At 45.8% G+C, this 20,249-nt stretch overlaps 1 protein-coding gene across 2 annotated transcripts in view, besides 1 other annotated feature; it reads right to left on the reverse strand.

Annotated features, from left to right (window-relative positions):
- Nucleotides 1-20,249, reverse strand: part of SLC23A2 (solute carrier family 23 member 2) — a 157,956-nt gene that overhangs the window by 5,127 nt on the left and 132,580 nt on the right. For both annotated transcript variants that reach the window (NM_203327.2, NM_005116.6), the window contains exons 10-16: nucleotides 17,092-17,212; nucleotides 16,452-16,608; nucleotides 12,422-12,569; nucleotides 10,286-10,391; nucleotides 5,294-5,423; nucleotides 4,464-4,601; nucleotides 1,805-1,900 (exon numbers count right to left, since the gene is read on the reverse strand). In NM_203327.2, coding sequence (NP_976072.1) covers nucleotides 1,805-1,900; nucleotides 4,464-4,601; nucleotides 5,294-5,423; nucleotides 10,286-10,391; nucleotides 12,422-12,569; nucleotides 16,452-16,608; nucleotides 17,092-17,212 — 896 coding nt within the window. The remainder of the gene's footprint in view (nucleotides 1-1,804; nucleotides 1,901-4,463; nucleotides 4,602-5,293; nucleotides 5,424-10,285; nucleotides 10,392-12,421; nucleotides 12,570-16,451; nucleotides 16,609-17,091; nucleotides 17,213-20,249) is intronic.
- Nucleotides 18,231-18,380: an enhancer, noted in NCBI's record as "active region_17502". NCBI's record gives its function as "activates an Ori minimal core promoter by ATAC-STARR-seq in GM12878 lymphoblastoid cells {active_cell/tissue: GM12878}" and the evidence as "EXISTENCE:reporter gene assay evidence [ECO:0000049][PMID:35858748]".

Below are 20,249 nucleotides of genomic sequence, written 5' to 3' on the forward strand. Positions count from 1 at the left end.
CTCCCTATCCTTCTATGTGACCCATATTCTCAATTTTCACTGTTAGGGCCCAGCTCAGGCCATGTTATTGCTTTCCTGGTTCATTCTATCGGTCTCCCATCTGGTTACCTAGTCTTCTGGCTCATCACCTCCTGCCCCAGGTCTGCTCAAAAACTACCTCTCTAGGCCAGGTGTGGTGGCTCACACCTGTAATCCAAGCACTTTGGGAGGCCGAGGTGAGAGGATCACATGAAGTCAGGAGTTCGAGACCAGCCTAGCCAACATGGTGAAATCCCGTCCCCACTCAAAATACAAAAATTAGCTGGGCGTGGTGGTGCATGCCTGTAATCTTAACTACTCAGGAGGCTGAGACAGGAGAATTGCTTGAACCCGAGAGGCAGAGACTGCAGTGAGCTGAGATCATGCCATTGCACTCTAGCCTGGGCAACAGAGCAAGACTCTGTCTTAAAAACAAAACAAAACAAAACAAAACAAACAACAAAACACACAAAACAAACTCTGTAAAATGTAAATCTGAGTCAAAAAAAAACCTCTTTAAAATGCAAATCTGAGTTTGCAAAACAGGGCTGAATCTTTATTGTATCACACAATGCCTTCATCAACCAGTCACTGCACATTCACCCCCCCATCTAGACAGACCCACACTTCATGCTGCTTTGCTCCATTTTAGCGTGTCTGGTGCTATGGGGGACACACAGGTCATGTACCTGTTGTGCTTCTGCGGGGATGAACATCCACCGGTTGGACACTCCTGGCCACTCTGCACCCTGACAGATGGGTCAGGGAGGAAGCTCTGAGCACACAGGGCTCAGCAAGGAAGCTCATGACTTTTTTTTATATCTAAGCTCTGCTCTCTCATCAGTATTTCAGAAATAAAGCTGACTTTAATTTCCATCAGCCTGACTGTTGCATCCCTCTCTCAATTCCCTCTGGCTTAGGAGAGAAAGAGAGTAGTCGTTATGGACTCTTAAATCCAGTGCCTTCCATCTATTTGTGTGTGTGATTCCTTCTGCCTTGGTTTCCCCAGCAATCTCTTGATTGAGGTTTTTTATTTTTTTTGGAGATGGGTTGTTTAAAGGGGAAAATCTCAACAAAACCTTTGAGCCTAAGAATAAGTATCACCCTTCCTTGAAGGCAGGGAAATCTGCCAGTATGTCCATGGCAGCACTTTACAGTGGCCCACAGCAGCCACCGCCAAGGCAGGACCCACATAACATCCTAGTCTGTCATCCCAAGCTCAGCACAGAATGTATCCATAAACAGGGATCATGGGTATTGGAGAGGCAGCTGCCTCCAGGCATCTCTTGTCAATGATCCTGGACCCCTGATCTCAGCCTTTGCCCATGGTCTTCTACTGCCTTCTGGTCTTAGTTGGCTGGAAGCCCACCTTAGGAACAACTCATTTAAGGGACAGTCTCCCCAAGCAGAAGTGCCACGGGCTGTGCCCACCTCTCTCAGATCAGATGAAACCCACACTGCAGGGCCTTTGGCACAGGCTGTGCAGGGGGACAGGAGCCTGGCCTGTGCCCATCCCACTGCCATCTCACCAAACGCAGCGAACTCAGCTGCTGTCTCCCAAAAGTCCTTCAGCACGAGAAACAAAATTAATCAGTTTATGTAGCAAAAAACTGATTCATACATGGAGGCTGGGAGTGCCATCACAACTGTTTTAGAAAACAGTTATAACCAGTGATGGCTTTGAACTCATTTACTCTTCCCGTTTTCCATTTCTATTTGGCAAAAAAAGTAACACATATGTTAAAAAATAAAAAAAAAAAAAGTGTGTTTGATATATACCACGTACCTGGGATGGTGTTATCCAGGATAAAAGCCACACAGCCCCCTACAAACATAGCAGTTGTGAGAAGGACGTTCAACACTTGATCGATTCCTGTTATCCCTAGAAAGAGAACACAGCCATAAACGATCAGTGCCACAGCAGCGGTGAGCCTGCCCTTGACTTGGGAAGGGGCAATGGTGTGGGCAGAACTCCGCCAATCAAAGCAGGAAAGGAAAGTGTACATTTCTTAGTTGTGCACATGTAGATGAATTTTTGCCAGTAATGTTTTAAACTACGATGAATACTTTCAACAATAATCCAAAGGTATCTCCATAAGGAGAATTCCCAACAGTGGTGCATAGAAGATGAATCTAAGAGTGGTGTTCACCCTACAACGAACTGTGAAGCCACAGGGGTGTAGTCGGTGGATAAAAAAAATTCTAAATAAAAAAAAATGGTAGTCATAAGGCTGAGAAAAAATTACAAAGTGAATAATAAGATGACAAAAATATTTCTGGCACCTGCAGTCATAGAAGACTTTTCAGTATCCTGGGTTATCAATTAGTGCTTAGCTGCTTTTAATCAGGGGCAACTGGATTTATAAAGATGTCCTCCCATGAATATGACATATTAAATGTAAAAAACAGCAAGAATCTCATTTATCCACACACTTTCCATCCGGAAGATAGAATAATCCTCAACAGAAAATCATAGGCACTGGTGAGGATGTGGAGAAACAGAAACCCTCGTACATGGCTAATGGGATAGTAAAATGGTGCAGCCGCCATGAAAAAGTTTGGCAGTTCCTCAAAAGGTTAAAAATAGAATTACCACATGACCCAATTATTCCACTCTTAGGTATATACCCAGGAGAAATGAAAACAAGTACTCAAATATGGCCCACATTGATTATTCATGAATTACGTGTTTGTGAAATTGCCCATACACTAAAATGTATTTGTAAACCCAAAATGAATACCCTTGGTGCCTTCATGGGTATACAGAGCAGTGAAAAATCTGAGCCACGCCACATACATTCCTGACTGATGTCAAATAAGCTGACGCTCTGCCTTGTTCTGGCCTCATCCTGTAAACAAGAGTCCTTTTTGCGGACTATGTAGTGCCATGTCTGTCATACCGTGTGCTTTCCGTTGGTGATCTCACTGTTTAAAATGTCCAAGTGGTGTGAAGTGCTCCCTGACGTTTCTACACATAAGGCGGCTATGGTGTGTGTTAAAGAAGATCCATCCAGGCATGAGCTGTGGCATTGCTGACTGTCTTTCCCCAGCAATGGTTCAGTATTTGCTAATACTGCTTGTGGCAACTCTACGAAACATAACTTCATGAATAATGAGAACTGATTGTACTTGCACATCAATATTCACAATAGCCAAAGGGCGGAAACAACCCAAATGTCCATCAATGGATGAATCGATAAACAATTTATGGTATATACACACAAAGGAACATTATCTAGTCATAAAAAAGGAATGAGGCTGGGCACAGTGGCTCACGCCTGTAATCCCAACACTTTGGGAGGCCAATGCAGGTGGATCACTTGAGGTCAGGAGTTCAAGACTAGCCTGGCCAACATGGTGAAACCCCGTCTCTACTAAAAATACAAAAATTGACCGGGTGTGGTGGTGGGTGCCTATTATCCCAGCTACTTGGGAGGCTGAGGCAGGAGAATCGCTTGAACCCAGGAGGCGGAGGTTGCAGTGAGCTGAGATCATGCCCAGGCCTGCACTCCAGCCTGAGCGACAAAGCAAGACTCCATCTCAAAAAAAGGAATGAAGTACTGCTACATGCTACAACATGGATGAATCTTGAAAACATGCTAAGTGAAGGAAGCCAGATACAAAAAGCCACATATTATGACTCTATTTATACCTAGAATAGACCGTGAATCCATAGAAACAGAAAGCACACCGGTGGCTGCCAGCGGGTGGGAGCAGGCGGTGATGGGGATTTACTGCTTAATGAGTTTGGGGTTTTATTTTGGGGTAATGAAATGTTTTGGAAACTGGACAGAGGTGATGGCTGCACAACACTGTACTAGATGCCATTGAACTGCTTAAAGTAGTTAATTTTGTTATGTGAATTTCACCCACAAAAAATATATGTATAAACAAACACTCCTCAATTCTGCACTGGCTAAGATATTACCAGTAGCAATGGCTATGTCTTGAGACGGTTCTTCCTTTCTACATTCCTCAGGACATTGCAGTGTTAAAACAAAAGGAGGAGTTAAAAAGGTTAATCTTGAATGCACAAGCCACGTGATTTTGCTCTGAGGAGTTAATAGGATAGACATCAAATAGTAGAATAACGTGTTCAAAGTCTATGAAGTTGAGTTTCAAAAAAAAATTATCTTAATGGAGCATTAGTCTATTAAGATAGACTAATGAAATCAAAAGCATTTAGAGAGAGGCATTCTCCCAAAGGAGAGGGTCCCAGTGAAAAAGAGACCTTAGCATCCATGACTGTTATGTGTACACGCCAGCAGGAAGCCCACAGCGCTTCCAGGTAAGTATTGAAAAGTGAGATTCAAGAGAGATCCACAGACGCATCTGCACCACAGCTCCTGGAGGCCCAAAGTCCTCTCCAATGGGCAAAGAGCTGCGTGTGGACTGGCGGCTGTGGTTCCAGCTCCCACTCCAAGATGTAAAGCCCATTTCCTCACCTGTGACCAGAGGGTTCTGTCTGAGGTAACTTGGAAGGACGAGCCCAAAGAAGATCGAAAATCCAAGCACAAAGAGGTTCCGGGAAGAATTTAAATCAATGAACTGCAGGTTAGAGAGGCCAACAGCTGTGATCATTCCTGGAGAAAAACAAACCAGACCACAAGCTCCAGCACCACTACAGCGGGGACAGCTCAAGGCAGGTGAGGGCAGGCTCCCTGGCACCCCTTCTCTGTCCAACAGAAACCAATGAGACCAGTGCAGGGACAGGAAGGGGGACGTGTGGGGTCAGACTGTAGCCACCCTGCGCTCTGAGCCAAATGACCCTCGGCGTACGCGCTATTTGGGCTCCTACGGGAGCATAAACACCATGTGGCATTTTGTTTGTCAAATAGAAAACTAAGGACATTGGTTCTCTCTCTACACAAACATTTTGATTAAACAGGGAGACCTACCTAAATATCTGGTGCATGTCTCTGGTTATTACAGCTAAATGGTGCAGAGATCAAACCCAGAGTCCCACTGTCAAAATGGTCAGTTTTAAGTAGCCCATTCAGAGGGATGGTATTTGAGTTAAATTGGTCAGAAATACTAAAGAGATTAAATTTAATTGAAATGTTCATAGCACAATTACATCTTATTGTTGGTTCCATATTTAATATAAATTCAACTCAGAGAGTGATAAAAGTTTTCATTTTTTGAAGGCATATCCTTTGTATTTTAAAATAGAAATTTATCGTTACCTTCTTACTGAAGGGAGTCAGCAAAAACACCATGACCCCTATTAAAAATTTGGAAAAGTAAAGGAAAAAGCCAGAGAGGGGAGTCTTACCAAAGAGCGTGCAGAACAGGGCTCCCAGCACAGGATCCGGAAGGGACGCAAAGAGGGCGCTGAACTTCCCGATCATGCCCAGAGCGAGCATGAGGGCTGCTCCGCACTGTATCACGCGGCGGCTGCCGACCTGCAGAACACACAGGAGACTGGGAAACAGGGACTCATCTCCATGCAAAATCACCGTAAGTTACTAAAGAACACACAGCAGAGATACCCATGGCCTGGCTCGCTACCTTCACCTCCTCCTCAGCCCACTCTTCTCACCTCCACTGTGGGGACCCTGAGGGCCGCCCTCTGCATCTCCAAGCCTTGGTGACACTCCCTGCACTCAGGCCTCAGGGCTCTACTGCCCTGGCACAGTCATGGGTTGGGATGGCCGTCTGTGTCTCAAATGCAAAGGCCACACTTTGCCCCTGCCTATCCCCTGGGTTCCCGGCACCACATGTCACCAAGGCAATTTCCCCCAAAGTGCTTCAGCCTCAATGCCAACTTCCCCACACCGGAAATCAGACCAAACCCCCAGACATGTCTGGAACCTCCTCTCCTCACGGCACGCTTCCCGTGAGAGGTGGAAAAGAGAAGGGGCTACGGATGAGGACATCTGGAGCCTGACTGCGGGCTCTTCTCCTGGCCCACGTCTGACTGTATGGTCGGGCCGACCCGTAGCCTCTAGAGTCTCAGGATCTTCATCTCAGTCACACACAAGCCTCGTGGTTTTGTTTTGAGGATTAAACGGGACCTGCATAAAACTGCCTGAATGGTAGCTGGCACGCACTGAGCCATCTGAGAGCCGCCCACATGGGCCTGCTGCCACTGGCCTTTCCTGCACCCATTCCATGGGGCCACGGGGTCACCTTTCTAACACATGAAATTGGGGAGGCTGGTCCCCTGCTTGCATCCTCTGGTACTCATGAAATAAAGCCCACTTCTCAGGCTCTTTCCAAGCACACCAGGCAGGCCTGGGCCTGTCTACCTGGACACCCTTCCCTGTGGTTCCCTCCTAGCCAGATCCTAGATGCATCCTTTTAAACATCACCCAAATGCTCCTCTGAAAAGCATCCCAACTCCAGGACTATTCCCCCATTATAGGCTCTCATAGCACCATGTAGGGCATATCTGCTACTCCTGATCTCTGCCTCCCAGCAGCTTCTGTCTAGCCTGCTGTCACCAGTCATGGGTTGGGATGGCCCTCTGTGTCTCAACGCAAAGGCCACACTTTGCCCCTGCCTATCCCCTGGGTTCCCGGCACCACACGTGAGAGGTGGTGCTGGCATCAGGCTCAGGAATCCTGCACTATGGGCCCCTACTCTGTGCTGCCTCTTGCAGGAAAACACCCTAAGGATGTAAACTGGGTAAAGGAGGTTCCAGAGTGTTTGGGGGAGTATCCACAAGGATTTATGTATGACCCCAGTGAGGAGAAGAGGGTTGCTTCAATTTTAATTAAGTAAAATGAGACAAAATTTTAAACGCAATTCCTCACGTACACCGGCCACATCTCAAGTGCCCACCAGGCACACGTGGCTGGTGCAGCTGTGTGTGACATGTTGACCACTGCACAGAACCCTCAAAGGACCAGGGTCAGCCAGTTACGCATCAGAGCCTGATCTGAGGCTGTGCACATGAGAGATGGCTGCCCAGCTGGACTCAGTCACTGTCTCACTGTCCCTAGCCTGCCCCACACCACAGACGGCAGGGAAGCAATGGAAAAGATCACTCAAACTGACAAATCAAGCAAAAGCGACTCATGCTTGGCTGTTACTATGGAATAAGGAAGGCTTTCATTTACTAATGGCCCTATCTTCAGCAAACATTTTCGAGGAACTATGTAATTATTTGATCAAGCTTGTGACTTGTTAGACTGGGACAGGTGAATGCAAAGATGAATAAGTCACAAGCTTGATCAAATAATCTCACTGCTATGCTGTTCTGCTGTTGGGGGAGCCCAGCAGCAGGGAAGAGAAAATCTGAAGAGTTGGGGAGGGTTGTTGGAGATGGTCCTGAGGGGTGAGTAAGAGTTCGCTAGTGGAAGAGCATCCAGGCAGAGGAAACAGCCTATGCAAAGACTCCTGGCAGGGTCGGGCAGGCCTGTTAGGTATGAAGGGCCAAACTGGCCCCAGGGATACCTGAAACTAAATCTGGTAGCAAAGTGACATCCAGAAGACTGATCTGCCTTTGATGCTGTCAACAATATATGCAGCAACTAAGCCATTCTTGTGTTCAATGAATATTGACCAAGTACCTATTATGTTTTATTCTAACTACCAGAGATAGAGCCCTAAAATCCCAGCCTTCCCGGTGCTTCCCCAGGACCTTTGCTTCCCCTCTCACAGGGTCCATTCCCTGGAATCTCCTTGGCACCTCCCTCCTGAACTGTGGCTCTGCCTCTAGGACCTTGGTAAAATAGACCCTGGGTTTCTGGATTTACAAAGTCTTCAACGGTGGTGCAGAATGCAGCAAGGAGAAATGACCTTCCTCTGGACACCAACAAAGAGATCTGACGGCCAGCGAGATAGTACTTGCTCTGTTCCTAGAAATAAACTAAGGGGTAAATAGCAATAATGATAATAACGATAATGATGGACCTTGCTGGTCCAGGTAGGGAGGCACTCAGGTGCCATCATTCCTTCATGCAATATAGATATTTATGAAGCACCCGCTCTGCCAGGCTACTGTTCTAGGCACTTGGGATACATCAGCTCATTAAAAAGTGCTGGCAAGGTAACTTGTCAGAGTAAGCTAGCACCATTCAAATTTTAATAAAAGGAATGATTTCCCAAACTACCTTGGTGGCCACATTATATGATGATGTGTTTTAAAGGGGTGCAGAAGGAGGAGGCTTGTTACACCATCTTCCCCTAAGATTCCCTTCATCTACAACAATTTTACTCCTACAGTCGTCCCTAGGGAACCTTGAATTAGTTCCAGGACCGCCACTCTCCCCGCCTCAGATACCAACAACCACAGACGCTTAACTCCCTGATATAAAATGGTGTAGTATTTGCATGTAGCCTACACACATCCTCCAATATACTTTATTTTATTTATATATTTTTTTTTATTTTTTATTTTGGAGTCAGAGTCTCGCTCTGTCACCCAGGCTGGAGTGCAGTGGCATGATCTCAGCTCACTGCAACCTCTGCGTCCTGGGTTCAAGTGACTCTCCTGCCTCAGCTTCCCAAGTGGCTGGGACTATGGGCACCAGCCACCAAGCCTGGCTAATTTTTGTGTTTTTAGTGGAGACAGGGGTTCAACATGTTGGCCAGGCTGGTCTCGAACTCCTGACCTCAGGTGATCTGCCCACCTCGGCCTCCCAAACTGCTGGGATTACAGGTGTGAGCCACCGTACCCAGCCAATATCCTCCCATATACTTTAAATCATCTCGACATTACTTACAATCCTTAATACAATGTAATTGCTCTGTAAATCGTTGTCAGACTGCATTGTTCAGAGAATAATGACAACAAAAAGTTTGTACATGCTCACCCAGAACAGTACAGAAACAAACAATATTAGTTCAGAAACAATATTTTTGAATTGAAGTTGGTAGAACCCACAGATACAGAGGGCCGGCTATCTTATTTGAGATTTGGGATTAGTTATATGCCTGCAAGCTCATGGCAGCAAACTGGCTGAAGAGTGGCATGGCTTAGGCCCCATTCTGTGCCCATGAGATCCTTCCCTCATCTCCCTGTGCTCAGCACTGGCTTCTCACCATGGGTAGCAAAAGGACCTCCAGGATGGCGCTAGAGGAAGCGCCCCTCAGACAACCTTCCCTCACATCCCCCATACAGGGAGCAACAGGCAGATGGGGCCATTGGCACACCTCAGGCTGAGCTCTGGCAGGGCCCTGCCAACCTGGGGAAACCAACAAACAAACCAGGCATGTGTGTGCCTGCCTGGCAGCTCCCTCTCACCTGGATTTGCAATCAAGGTTAATCAAACTTAGTATCTGGTTTCTCTTTATCTGATTATAGAATCTTACATGGCAAAGGAGAGCTCTTTTGAAATCCACTCCTCCCTCCCAATTTGACAGAGGTCAACCAGTTCTAGAAGGTTTCCGGGCTCACCCCAAGTCCTCAGTGAGGGAGACCTGTGAGACGTAGGCCATCGAGGATGGTGAACCAATTTTCATGGTCTTAGTTTCACAACATACCATGGCCAATGGTGGGTCATCTCTTAATTTAAAACTAGTGACACCTCCCAGTTGGGATCCCATTTCTACCTTTTGCCCAGCCCCCCATGGTCTATTCTCATCACTGCAGTCAAAGCGATCCCTAAAAAAAAAAAAAAAAAAAAAAAAATCTGACCAAGCTGCTCCCTGCAGCACTCCCTTCCACTCAGGCAGTCTGTGGCTGCCTACCTACCTGCCTGCCTGTGTAACCTGCTCCCCAGTTACCCGGCAGACCCCACCTGCTCTGACTCCCTGACCCGCACTGGCCTCCTTGCTGACCTTCCACTTCCAGGATAGGGCTCGGCCCTGGCCACACCCTGGCCTGGAACGCTCTCCCCCAGGTTATTTGCAGGCTCCCTCCCTCCACCCTTCAGGTCTGTGTTCAGGTCACCTGATCACCCTCTCCCCAAGCTTCCTGTCCCATGTTTCCCCCAGTACTTGTCACTGGCTGACATAATGCATCATTTATGGACTTAGTATGCTGATTGTTGATTGCTAGAATGTAAACTCCACTTTTTAATTCACTGATGTATCCCAAGTGCCTTGAACAGTGGCCTGGCAGAGTCAGTGCTTTATAAATATCTATACTGCATGATGGAATGACAGCACTGAGTGCCTCCCTACCCGGACCAGCAAGAGAAGAGAGACTTCCAAACAGGCATTATAAACACTTAAAAAAAAAAAAAAAAAAAAAAAGGAGAGAAGTAATTTTTTAGAACCAGAGGCCCGCCCATTTGGAACTTGCAGTGGCCAGATCGATCAATGAAATGGACCAATGCTTAGAAACCCAATCATTTAATTAGAAAAATCTGTGTACCTTTGTAATTCCCAAAACTCCAATGTTGGGACTGGATGAAGTAGAGCCATTCCCAGTACCAAATATGCCATCAAGAACACAGGAGAGGCCTTCCACGAAAATTCCCCTAAGATGTAAAGGAATGGAGGAAAGAAAATCATTCAATGGGATAATGCATTCACTCTGAAATAGCCTCTACACATCTACAATCCAAAAATGTGGTCCAGAGCCTGCAGCTTCCACATCTCCTGGGAGCTGGGAGGGCGATTAAAAATACAATCTCAGACCCCACCCCAGACCTGCTGAAGCAGAAAAGAATCTGCATTTTTTTTTTTTTTTTTTTTTTTTTTAGAGAGTGTCTCACTCCGTCACCTAGGCTGGAATGCAGTGACGCGATCTTGGCTCACTGCAACCTCCACCTCCTGGGTTCAAGAGATTCTCCTGCCTCCCGAGTAGCTGGGATTACAGGTTTGCACCACCATGCCTGGCTAATTTTTGTATTTTTAGTAGAGACGGGGTTTCACCATGTGGCCAGGCTGGTGTGGAATTCCTGACCTCAGGGTGATCCGCCTGCCTCAGCCTCCCAAAATGTTGGGATTACAGGCGTGAGCCACTGTGCCCGGCCAGAATCTGCATTTTAACAGAACCCCCAAAGCTCATTCCATTTTGAGAAGCACATCTCTAAATCACACGTTAGATTTGAGTGTTTTTAAATCACCGCAAATGAAAGCAAAGGATTTTAGCCAGAAAATAAAGCCATTTGTTGGGGTATAAGACAAACATGGGCCGTCTATGGAAATAAAACATTGATGTGATCCTTTACTCTTAAAATCCAGTTTCATCAGGAAGGAAATGTTTTATAATTTCATAAGTACTGACACTTTTAAACATACTGATATACAGGTATTTAATCATGTGCAGCAGCTCCATTAGAGAAAGATGGGGACATCAGGTACCAGAGCCAAGGCCCAGTCCATTAATCTCATCACACACAGTCCCTTCTGGGGTTACAGAGCTGGCTGGAGAACAGGAGGGGATCTGGGCTGTTTTCTTTTCTCTGCAGACTCCTCAGGGGCAATCATCTGACAACTTCTAAAAGCTAATCATAAACCCCATAGTTCATAAGCCCTAGATCCCACAGATTTCATTCATTTCTGCTATTCCTGTCCCTATTTATATAAACTGTAACTGTGCATAGATTACACAGTGCTTACCCTTGGGGACAATTGGAACGTATCTAATTGACAGACCTGGGGCATACTGCCTGCTGCTAAGGTTTCCACTACAGGGGAGAGCAAACGGTATCCTTGTGCTTTCTGTCTGTCCGATTGTGGCAGCCAAGATTGGGTGGGGAAACAGGGAAAAAAACAGGTAATTTTTGCAATGTAGAAATAGCACTGTATAGCCAAGTATGGTGGTGCACACCTGCAGTCTCAGCTACTCAAGGTGCTGAGGTGGGAGGATTGCTTGAGCCCAGGAGTTCAAGAGTGTGGTGCATTACGATTGTGCCTCTGAATAGCCACTGCACTGTAGCCTGGGCAACACGGTGAGACCCTGGGTCTTTTTAAATTAAAAACAAACAAACAAAAAAAAAACAAAAAAAACCTGTAAGCAGTGAAGAGCTTGTTTTGCTGGGAAGAAAAATTTCAGTTTGTGTAAAAAAAAAAAAAAAAAGAACAGTTGGAAAGGCAAGATAACAGAAAATCAAAGTAGTGCTCTCTATCTCTCTCTCTCTCTCTATATATATATATAGACAGAGCTACTTTGATTTTATCTATCTAATCTCCAAATGACACACACACACACACACACCCCAAAAAAAGCAAAGAACAAGTGCAGTGCTTGGCATGTGGTTTTTGAATTTAAGGCTTACAGTGGTTTCGCAGAGAGTGTGTTATTTGATGTCACTGCAATTAAGGAAGGGTAGGAATTCCGTTCCACGTCATGGACGAGGAAAATGAAAGTAAACAAAGGCAGTGGTGTATCAGACAGTCGAAAGTAAACAAAGGTGGTGATGCATCAAACAGTCGCTAGAGTCCTGCTGCTTGGCTGGGCTCCTGCTGAAACTCTTGGTTTTGTCTTCAAGGTAATGTAAACCTAAGAACAAAGTAACAAGGTGCTGGGACCAATCAGGAACTTGTCTTCTCAGGAACGTACCTGTTTATTGCGTGGATGGGGGGGGGTGGGGCACAGGACAGCCGTGCACAGGCGTAGTAGTCACCAATAGACTCGATGATGCTGGCGACCACGGCACTGAGCATGCCGATGACACCGGCCGCAGACACGGTGGGCAGTCCCCACTGAACTGTGGGAGGAAAACAACCATGAATGCTCCTAGAGAGGCAGGCGAAAGTGACCAGGACCAGTTACCCAAAGTCATTCTGAACGCTGCAAGACTCTACAAGATCCACTTGGATTCTGAAGCTCATGGAAACTGTTCATTTTAAAATCTTAAGCACCAGATGCCTGGGACAGTTGCTAAGTCAGATGAAGGCGGCCATAATGAGGACTGATGTGCACTGTGTCTTTAATTAAAAGAAAACATCGTAGCCGGATGCGGTGGCTCACGCCTGTAATCCCAGCACTTTGGGAGGCCGAGGCAGGCAGATCACGAGGTCAGGAGTTCGAGACCAGCCTGGCCAACAAGGTGAAACCCCATCTCTACTAAAAATACAAAAATTAGCCAGGCGTGGGGGCATGTGCCTGTAATTCCAACTACTCGGGAGGCTGAGGCAGGAGAATCACTTGAACCTAGGAGGCGGAGGTTGCAGTGAGCCAAGACTGCGCCACTGCACTCCAGCCTGGGTGATAGAGCGAGACTCCATCTCAAAAAAAAAAAAGAAGAAAAAGAAGAAGACATTGTTGGGCTGGAAGAGGCTGTAACTTCTCTTTCCTGCTTCCAAGCCACACTCAGTATCCACTAAATAACAACTGAAAGTGCCCTGCCACGTTGGGAAATTTGTATGAGGGATTTATAGCCCTGCTGTACAGAGCAGGGTACAAAGCAGCAGTGGCCTTCCCCAGGGGAGGACATCAAGTGAAAAGGCAGTGAGAAATCACCAGCTAAACTTAAATCCCAACAGTAAAGCATCCATAAGGTATGGACAGTCCTTCTCTACTATAATACCAGAACCTTATTTTTATATCATAAACCATGTTATGGGAAATTAAATAGTTTCATTTCAGAAAGCAAAGTGAGGCCCCACTGAAACTTCATTTTAAGTTCCGCATTTACTTAATCCCTCATTAGATACTTTTTTCTTCACAAGTATATTTATTTGGACTTGAAAGCCATAGGTCTTACTTAACAAAAATAGCATGGGTCTCTTTCGTGTGAGAATGAATAGACTCCTTTGATAAAGGAGTAGCCCTTCTTCCGTTGAAGCATTAGTTATAATACACTCACTGAGCAGAAAGCACAGTGGGAAAAGAACGATGGCTAAAACATGGTCTCTCATGCAGGAGCCAACAACGTAGCTGGGGACACAGGACACTCCAAAAGATCCAGGGAGAGGGAAATTGCTCAACTTCAAATGGAGGCAAGCTGAGCTGGGTCACAAGAAGCACCAGTGAGGTGGTCAGGAAAAGGCGAAGTCGGGCCCTGGCCAGGGAAGGATCTGAGGAGGAGGTGGGAACGGAGGTGCCCCTCCAGGGATCGGGAGGGTCTGGAGGGTGGGGTTTGAGGGTGTTCTGGTGAACGCAGAGCTCTCATGCAGGGCACAGGGCAGGAGGCAAGTTCTGGAAGTGTTCCAAAAGCCATCTAAGCCACCTAGAGGGGTTTGGCCTGTGTTGTAGGTAGCCTAGAGCAACCACTGGATTGGGAAGAGAAAGGATACAAAGTCAGACGTGCAGAATAAGCCTGGAGTGCGGTTAAGGGCAGAATTGCTCCTGCCTCAGGCTTGTTCATTCTGTGGGAGCAGCCAGGGGATGCAGAGGCGGCCCTTGGTCAGGGGTGCAAGGTACGCAGGTTGATGGATGGGGCTCGACACACCCTATGCCACCAGCAAGAGGCCTGCTCAACGTATCAGCTCCAGGTTAATTTGGAATGGATTTTCCTCATTCAGAGGCCTTCCTCACCAAGGAACATTTTGCTTTTTCTCAATTATCTTTTATACTGTTATCTTGTTATTGTTGTAGCATTCTGGTTTCAAGAATTCTGGTTGTAGCATTCAAGTTTAGTGTCTTGATTTTGAAGGGGGATTCTTATTTTGATCCTTTTTCCTTCAGATATATATCTATATATCTATATCTATATTTTTTTTTCTTAAAGACCTTGTTGGCTTCCAGCCTTCTCTCTTGAATCTGTTATTTCATATCTCCTTTTACCAAGAAACTTTCATTTAGTTTGTTACTTGACAGCAGGGTTTTTCAACCTCAGCACTGTTGACATTTTGCACCAGAAATCTGTATTATATTAACAATCAGTCCAGACCATGCCTAGTGTACTAAAGACTGAAAAGCACTGCTCAGGTATTCAAAAGCCCCTCTCTGGCTTGAGACAAAGCACTGGAGAGTACTACATATGTATACAGTAGTACGACTATATCCCTGGAGGTGGCTTTCTAGCTATGGAGCTCTGGTACCCCACCAGCCCTCGGCAGGCCAGGAGCCCTACGTGCTCGCTCACGGCCAGCACAACCTCAGGCGCTCTGTCTACTAAGTTTCGCCTTCTCGTGTGTGGCCCCATGGGTCCTAGTGAACTCCCTCTGGCCCCAGCACCTGTACAGCTGCCTCTCCTGGACAGCCCAGCTTGTGCCCCTACTGGCGCCCACCTTGGGAGTTGCCTGCACAAGCAGAAGACCACCTTGTATACGCTGTGGGGGCTTCTACCTACCTGCCACCCCCGCCTCGCCCTCACCCTGACTGCCTCACCAACTAATTGTAATTTCATTTTATCTCAGACTACAGGTATGTTTATGAACCATGCACATTCTTTCTTGGAAAAAGAATAGGTCTGTATAAATGCACACTTAGACCATACAATCTGATGAGAAAGTTATTTTAGAAAGATGAAACTTTTTTTTTTGAGACAGTCTTGCTCTGTCTCCCAGGCTGAAGTGCAGTGGCGCAATCTCGACTCACTGCAACCTCCGCCTCCCAGATCCAAGCGATTCTCCTGCCTCAGCCTCCCGAGTAGCTGGAATTACAGACACCCGTCATCAGGCCTGGCTCATTTTTGTATTTTTGTAGAGATGGGGTTTCACCATGTTGGCCAGGCTGGTCTTGAACTCCTGACCTCGGGTGATCCTCCTGCCTCGGCCTCCCCAAAGTGCTGGGGTTACAGGCATGTCCCGCCGCGCCCGGCCTGAAAGACGAAACTTTTTAAAGCTTTCCTAAGTGTATTGAGAACAAAAAGAACAGCCAACACTCATCATTCAACATGCTCAGAGCAGTCATCTTTAACCCAACCTTAAAATTCTTGGCTTCTCTCTTTTTCTCCTTGTCATTATAAAAAATGAAAATAAGATGGTTACACAGGGAAAGAAGTGGGCTGAACCTGACTAAGCTCAGGCTCCAATTCTAATAAAAACCCAGACGCCGGGACTAGAGTCTTCACAATGGAACCAAGTGTGTAACAACCACTGGGATCACCTACACGGGGCCAGCTGCGAGTCCAGGTGACACCCCAGCTAGGGAATGTATTCACACCCCCAACAGTTACACAACACTCAAATTAAGATGCAGCTTTTGGCCATTAGTGACTATCAACTTACCTCTACAGCTGTGGCCAAATTTAAAAGATTATGGCTGCCCATTAAGAGATTATATAAATTCCATCATGCTTGAGCAGGTTGCTTGCTAATCCCCAGGCTGTTCCCACTCACATCTTTCCACTTTGGCAGCTCTGGGACCAAGCAGCTCTATACTTGCCTATCTAAGCAGCTGCCCTCAAATCCTGGCCACCAGAGCTTAAACCTGGCAAGAGACCCCTTGTCCAGGATTTCATCCTAGCAGATCCAAAAGAGACAGCTCGCTAATGTGAGAAGGGAGCCGGTCAGTCTCTGTGTGTTGGTTTCTGCCCTCTGGGGACAGGGCCTCCCTTACTTGCTGTCTAATCCTCTCCTGACCAGAATGGCAAGGCCTTCAGGAGACAGTCTGGGACAAAGACGGCTGTTCTGCCAAATTCCCACCCCTCTCAGTTGGGCCCTCGTGGGCTCTTGACCCCTCTAGCCATCAGAATACTTACATGGGTATGGAACCTTAAACCACGGGGCTACCAGAAGCACGCCTTGCCTGGCATCTGTGCGAGCATAGAAGCCATACTTTGTGCTGTCGGGAGGGAAGACATCTGTCACCGTGAAGATGAAGCAGAGCAGCCAGGATACCAGGATGGCCAGGATGATCTGGAGTGGTCAAGGGGAAGCTCTGTCAGGCCAGCAGGGCTCACAGGTGTTGGCAAAAAACACGTCTTCCCGCGGTCGGAATATCACACCCCAGAGCCCACCACAGTCAGTACTTTGCAGACCTTCCTTGAATGGACTCTCACTGAGAGAGCAGTTTCATTCAGGTGAACTTATCTTACCCATTCCAAAGTCTGGCTGGTAAAACAAGAATGGACATCGTGCCTGCAGAGGCCACGTGGAGTCAAATCTTACTCAGTCCCAAGGACAGTGTCCCCTTCCTTCGGCACTGCTAAAAGGATGTGCTCCCATTTCAGAATCAGAATGTTTAAGTCTATGATGATCTGAGTGGTCATTAGTAGCCTGGTCTCACTGCACAGATATGATCCCCCAAGGAGGGCCTGCTTAAAACCCTCCCTTCACTTAATCATCTTACATATTAACCAAGGGCAAAAATGTCAGCAGGGGAAGAAGTCAGCTACTCACAGGGAACATTTTGAACAGCTGTAACTTGTACGCAGTCCATCCTTTCTTGGATTTATAAATCGGGAGAGGAAATTTAACATTTCTGGCGTATTGAGAAAACAGTAATACTAGGAATATTGTCCTGAGGAGAGAAAGAAAACAAACTAGGTCAAAAGCTGTTATGTCTCTGTTATAAAATAACACTCGAAGCTTCTATGGCAAAATTGACATAGTGTTCAATTCATTTACCTAGAAAGCTGCTAGTCCTCTGAACTACCATTTGAGAAATAGTATATCTATTGGAATGTACATCTTTTGGAAATACTACTGTGGGGGAAGATGTTACAACTAATTTGCCTAGCATTTCTTGATACTGAAATGAAATTCTGATGTAAATGCCTTAGGACAGCTTTTCCTAAATAGAATAAGAAAACCCAAAGAATGTACACATTGATGGGAAACGCTTACTCTATGTAAAGGGAAAGGATGCCAGATACAACATAAACTGTAAGATTATAACTATGAATTAACTACAAAGCAAACCAAGAAACTACTGCACGTACACACAAACAGGTAAGAAGGACATGATCCAAAATTCTCCCAGGGATTCGCTTTGAGTAGTTACATGATTTGCAACTGGTTTTCCCACTTTTCTGTATTTTCCAATCTACTTACAGCACGCATAAATTACTTTTAAAAGAGCAAAAAGTAAGCTTCACTGCTCAAGAAAAGTAGATACAGTAGAATTCAGTATTAATAACATTCCTGGGAGGCTTCTGTGTGCCAGACATTACACTAATGTCTTCCTGTGCAGCATCTCAACCTTACGGGGTGGCTTCTAAGATGGTCTCCTTTTCACAGAGACAAAGCCAGAGGTCCAAGATCACACGGCTAGGGTTGTAGCACTGGGGACCAGGAATCTAGCTCTATGGCTTGAACTGAACTCTTTCCTTTTGCCACCCTGGTCACAGGGCAAGGAGGCTGGGCTGCGTAAGTCCCTCTCCTTGAGCCTCACGGTCCTGACTGAACTGCACTAAGTGCTATGGGAGGCAGGTGCTGACCCCTCCACGGCAGGACCATGGCACTTCCTGACACACCAGTCCATGACATCGGTCTGGTGTCCCACGGGGCTGGCAGGTGTGGGGCCACTTCCCATCCCCCAGGTGGATTTTTACTCATCACCGAAACAAAACTCGTGCCCAACAATGCGTCTAAGCCTCCACGCGGTCTCGCTCTTTCACTTACAACCTGAGGTAGAGCTGGCAGGAAGAGTAGGTTCTCAGTCAAAGCTAAGCTTAATTGTTCCTGGGCACAGTTCCAATTGTTGAGATGGAATCATTAGCCCCATCGACAGCCGGTCAAGTGTGACTCCACTGTCACATTCCTAATGAGGTGTGGATGGCAGCCCGGCTGGAGAACATGCGTGTGTTGCTCCACGGGTCTCCCTGCCTACTCAGGCGCTTCGGTGAACTGGTGATCCATCAGGGGTCTCTGCCAGTACCAGTTCAAGGTCGAAAACACACACAGTGCCCACGTTATTTCAATTCCTCTGGGATAGTGAAGTTTAACAAAAAACAATATGGTAACAAGGGATACTAAAACTGGAATATTTTAAACTTAGACCTACATGCAATTTTCATGTCTGGAAAAAATAAATGCTACTTATTTGTTTCAGAGTGAATATTAGGAGATCCAAAGATGCCCCAGGCCTGCTAGTTTTGTCATCATTATTTCAGGCAACACACCTGCACATTTAAGAGGGGACTGAGACCACACAGAATTTGAGGAGGGACACCCAGATCTTAGGCCCAAATCTGGCAACTCAAATTTAGAAAGCAGATTAGGTAGCAGATGAACATGACTGTTTCTTTCTGCTCTAAAACCTCTCTACTTCGAGTTTATTTTTATTCTCAAATACACCTGGGGGCAGGCACCCTGTGACAGAGAGGCAGCAGCTTAGAGGTGCAGACCCGCCCATGTCCACACATCTTAACTGAGCAAAGGGATGAAGCGTTCTAGCCCCAGCTCTCAGGATGGGCTGCTGTCTACTCCACTGGGTGCTTCCCACCTCATGTTTACCTTTGCTAACTTTTACTTTAAAATGTTACGCAAGTAATACATACTAAATTGTACAAAAAATTTAAAAGACAGATAAGCAGAAAGAAAAAGATAAAACCCTGAAGATCATCCATAATCCCCCTTGAGTGATAAAACCATGTAATATCGTGGTCTATCTGTTCTGAACAGTTTTCACTCCCTGGATATTTGCTGGGTGCTGGAGGAAGACAGATTGTCATCTTCCTTGTCCCCAGACATGAACAGGTTATTATCTAAGCCAAACTGGAATCATGCTTTACGCAGCTTCCTGACCTGCCTCAGTATCTATTTGCTTTTCCGCCTCATCAGACAGAGATTTGCAGCAGCACCTTAGTGACTGCTTAGCATTCTGTTTTATGGACATACCAGGGGACGGGGGAGGGATAGCATTAGGAGATATACCTAATGTAAATGACGAGTTAATGGGTGCAGCACACCAACATGGCACATGTATACATATGTAACAAACCTGCATGTTGTGCACATGTACCCTAGAACTTAAAGTATAATAAAATATAAATAAATAAATAAATAAATAAAAATTCCCATACTGTATGACATCAGAAGCAACATAAACAGCTTTAATTGAAAAACTGTATCATCATTGCTTCTAATACTCAGTCTTTTCACGTTGAGGTATATATTTCAGCATTTTTTTTGGTAGCAGCAAAAATTTAAGCTACATGCATGAGCATCAGCTGAGAAATGGCTGAATACATTATAGACTACATTACTAAACACTGTGCAGCTTTAGAAAGAAAGAGATCATCTAAACATGCTGTCTCAGAGAAGTAAACCCAACAAATTATTGGGGTAAAAATGAATAAAATTATGTATATATACTAGTTTGTACTTATTTGCATAAAAATATAAAAATATGTAAGGATAAAAACAAAATTTTTTACTAGTTAACAATCATGAGATTTTTTTGAGAGATGGAGTAGGAGGGGACTATTATTTTGCTTTAGATTTCTGAGCTTAATTACTGTTAAATTTCAAATACCTAGAATTTAACTGAATTGGAGGGAGCTGAAAAACAGTGGGATATAGATAAAAGTATACTGTTTTGGAGTGCCTGGTAT

This window comes from Homo sapiens, chromosome 20 (genome assembly GCF_000001405.40).
Source record: "Homo sapiens chromosome 20, GRCh38.p14 Primary Assembly".
Taxonomy (NCBI): Eukaryota; Metazoa; Chordata; class Mammalia; order Primates; family Hominidae; genus Homo; species Homo sapiens.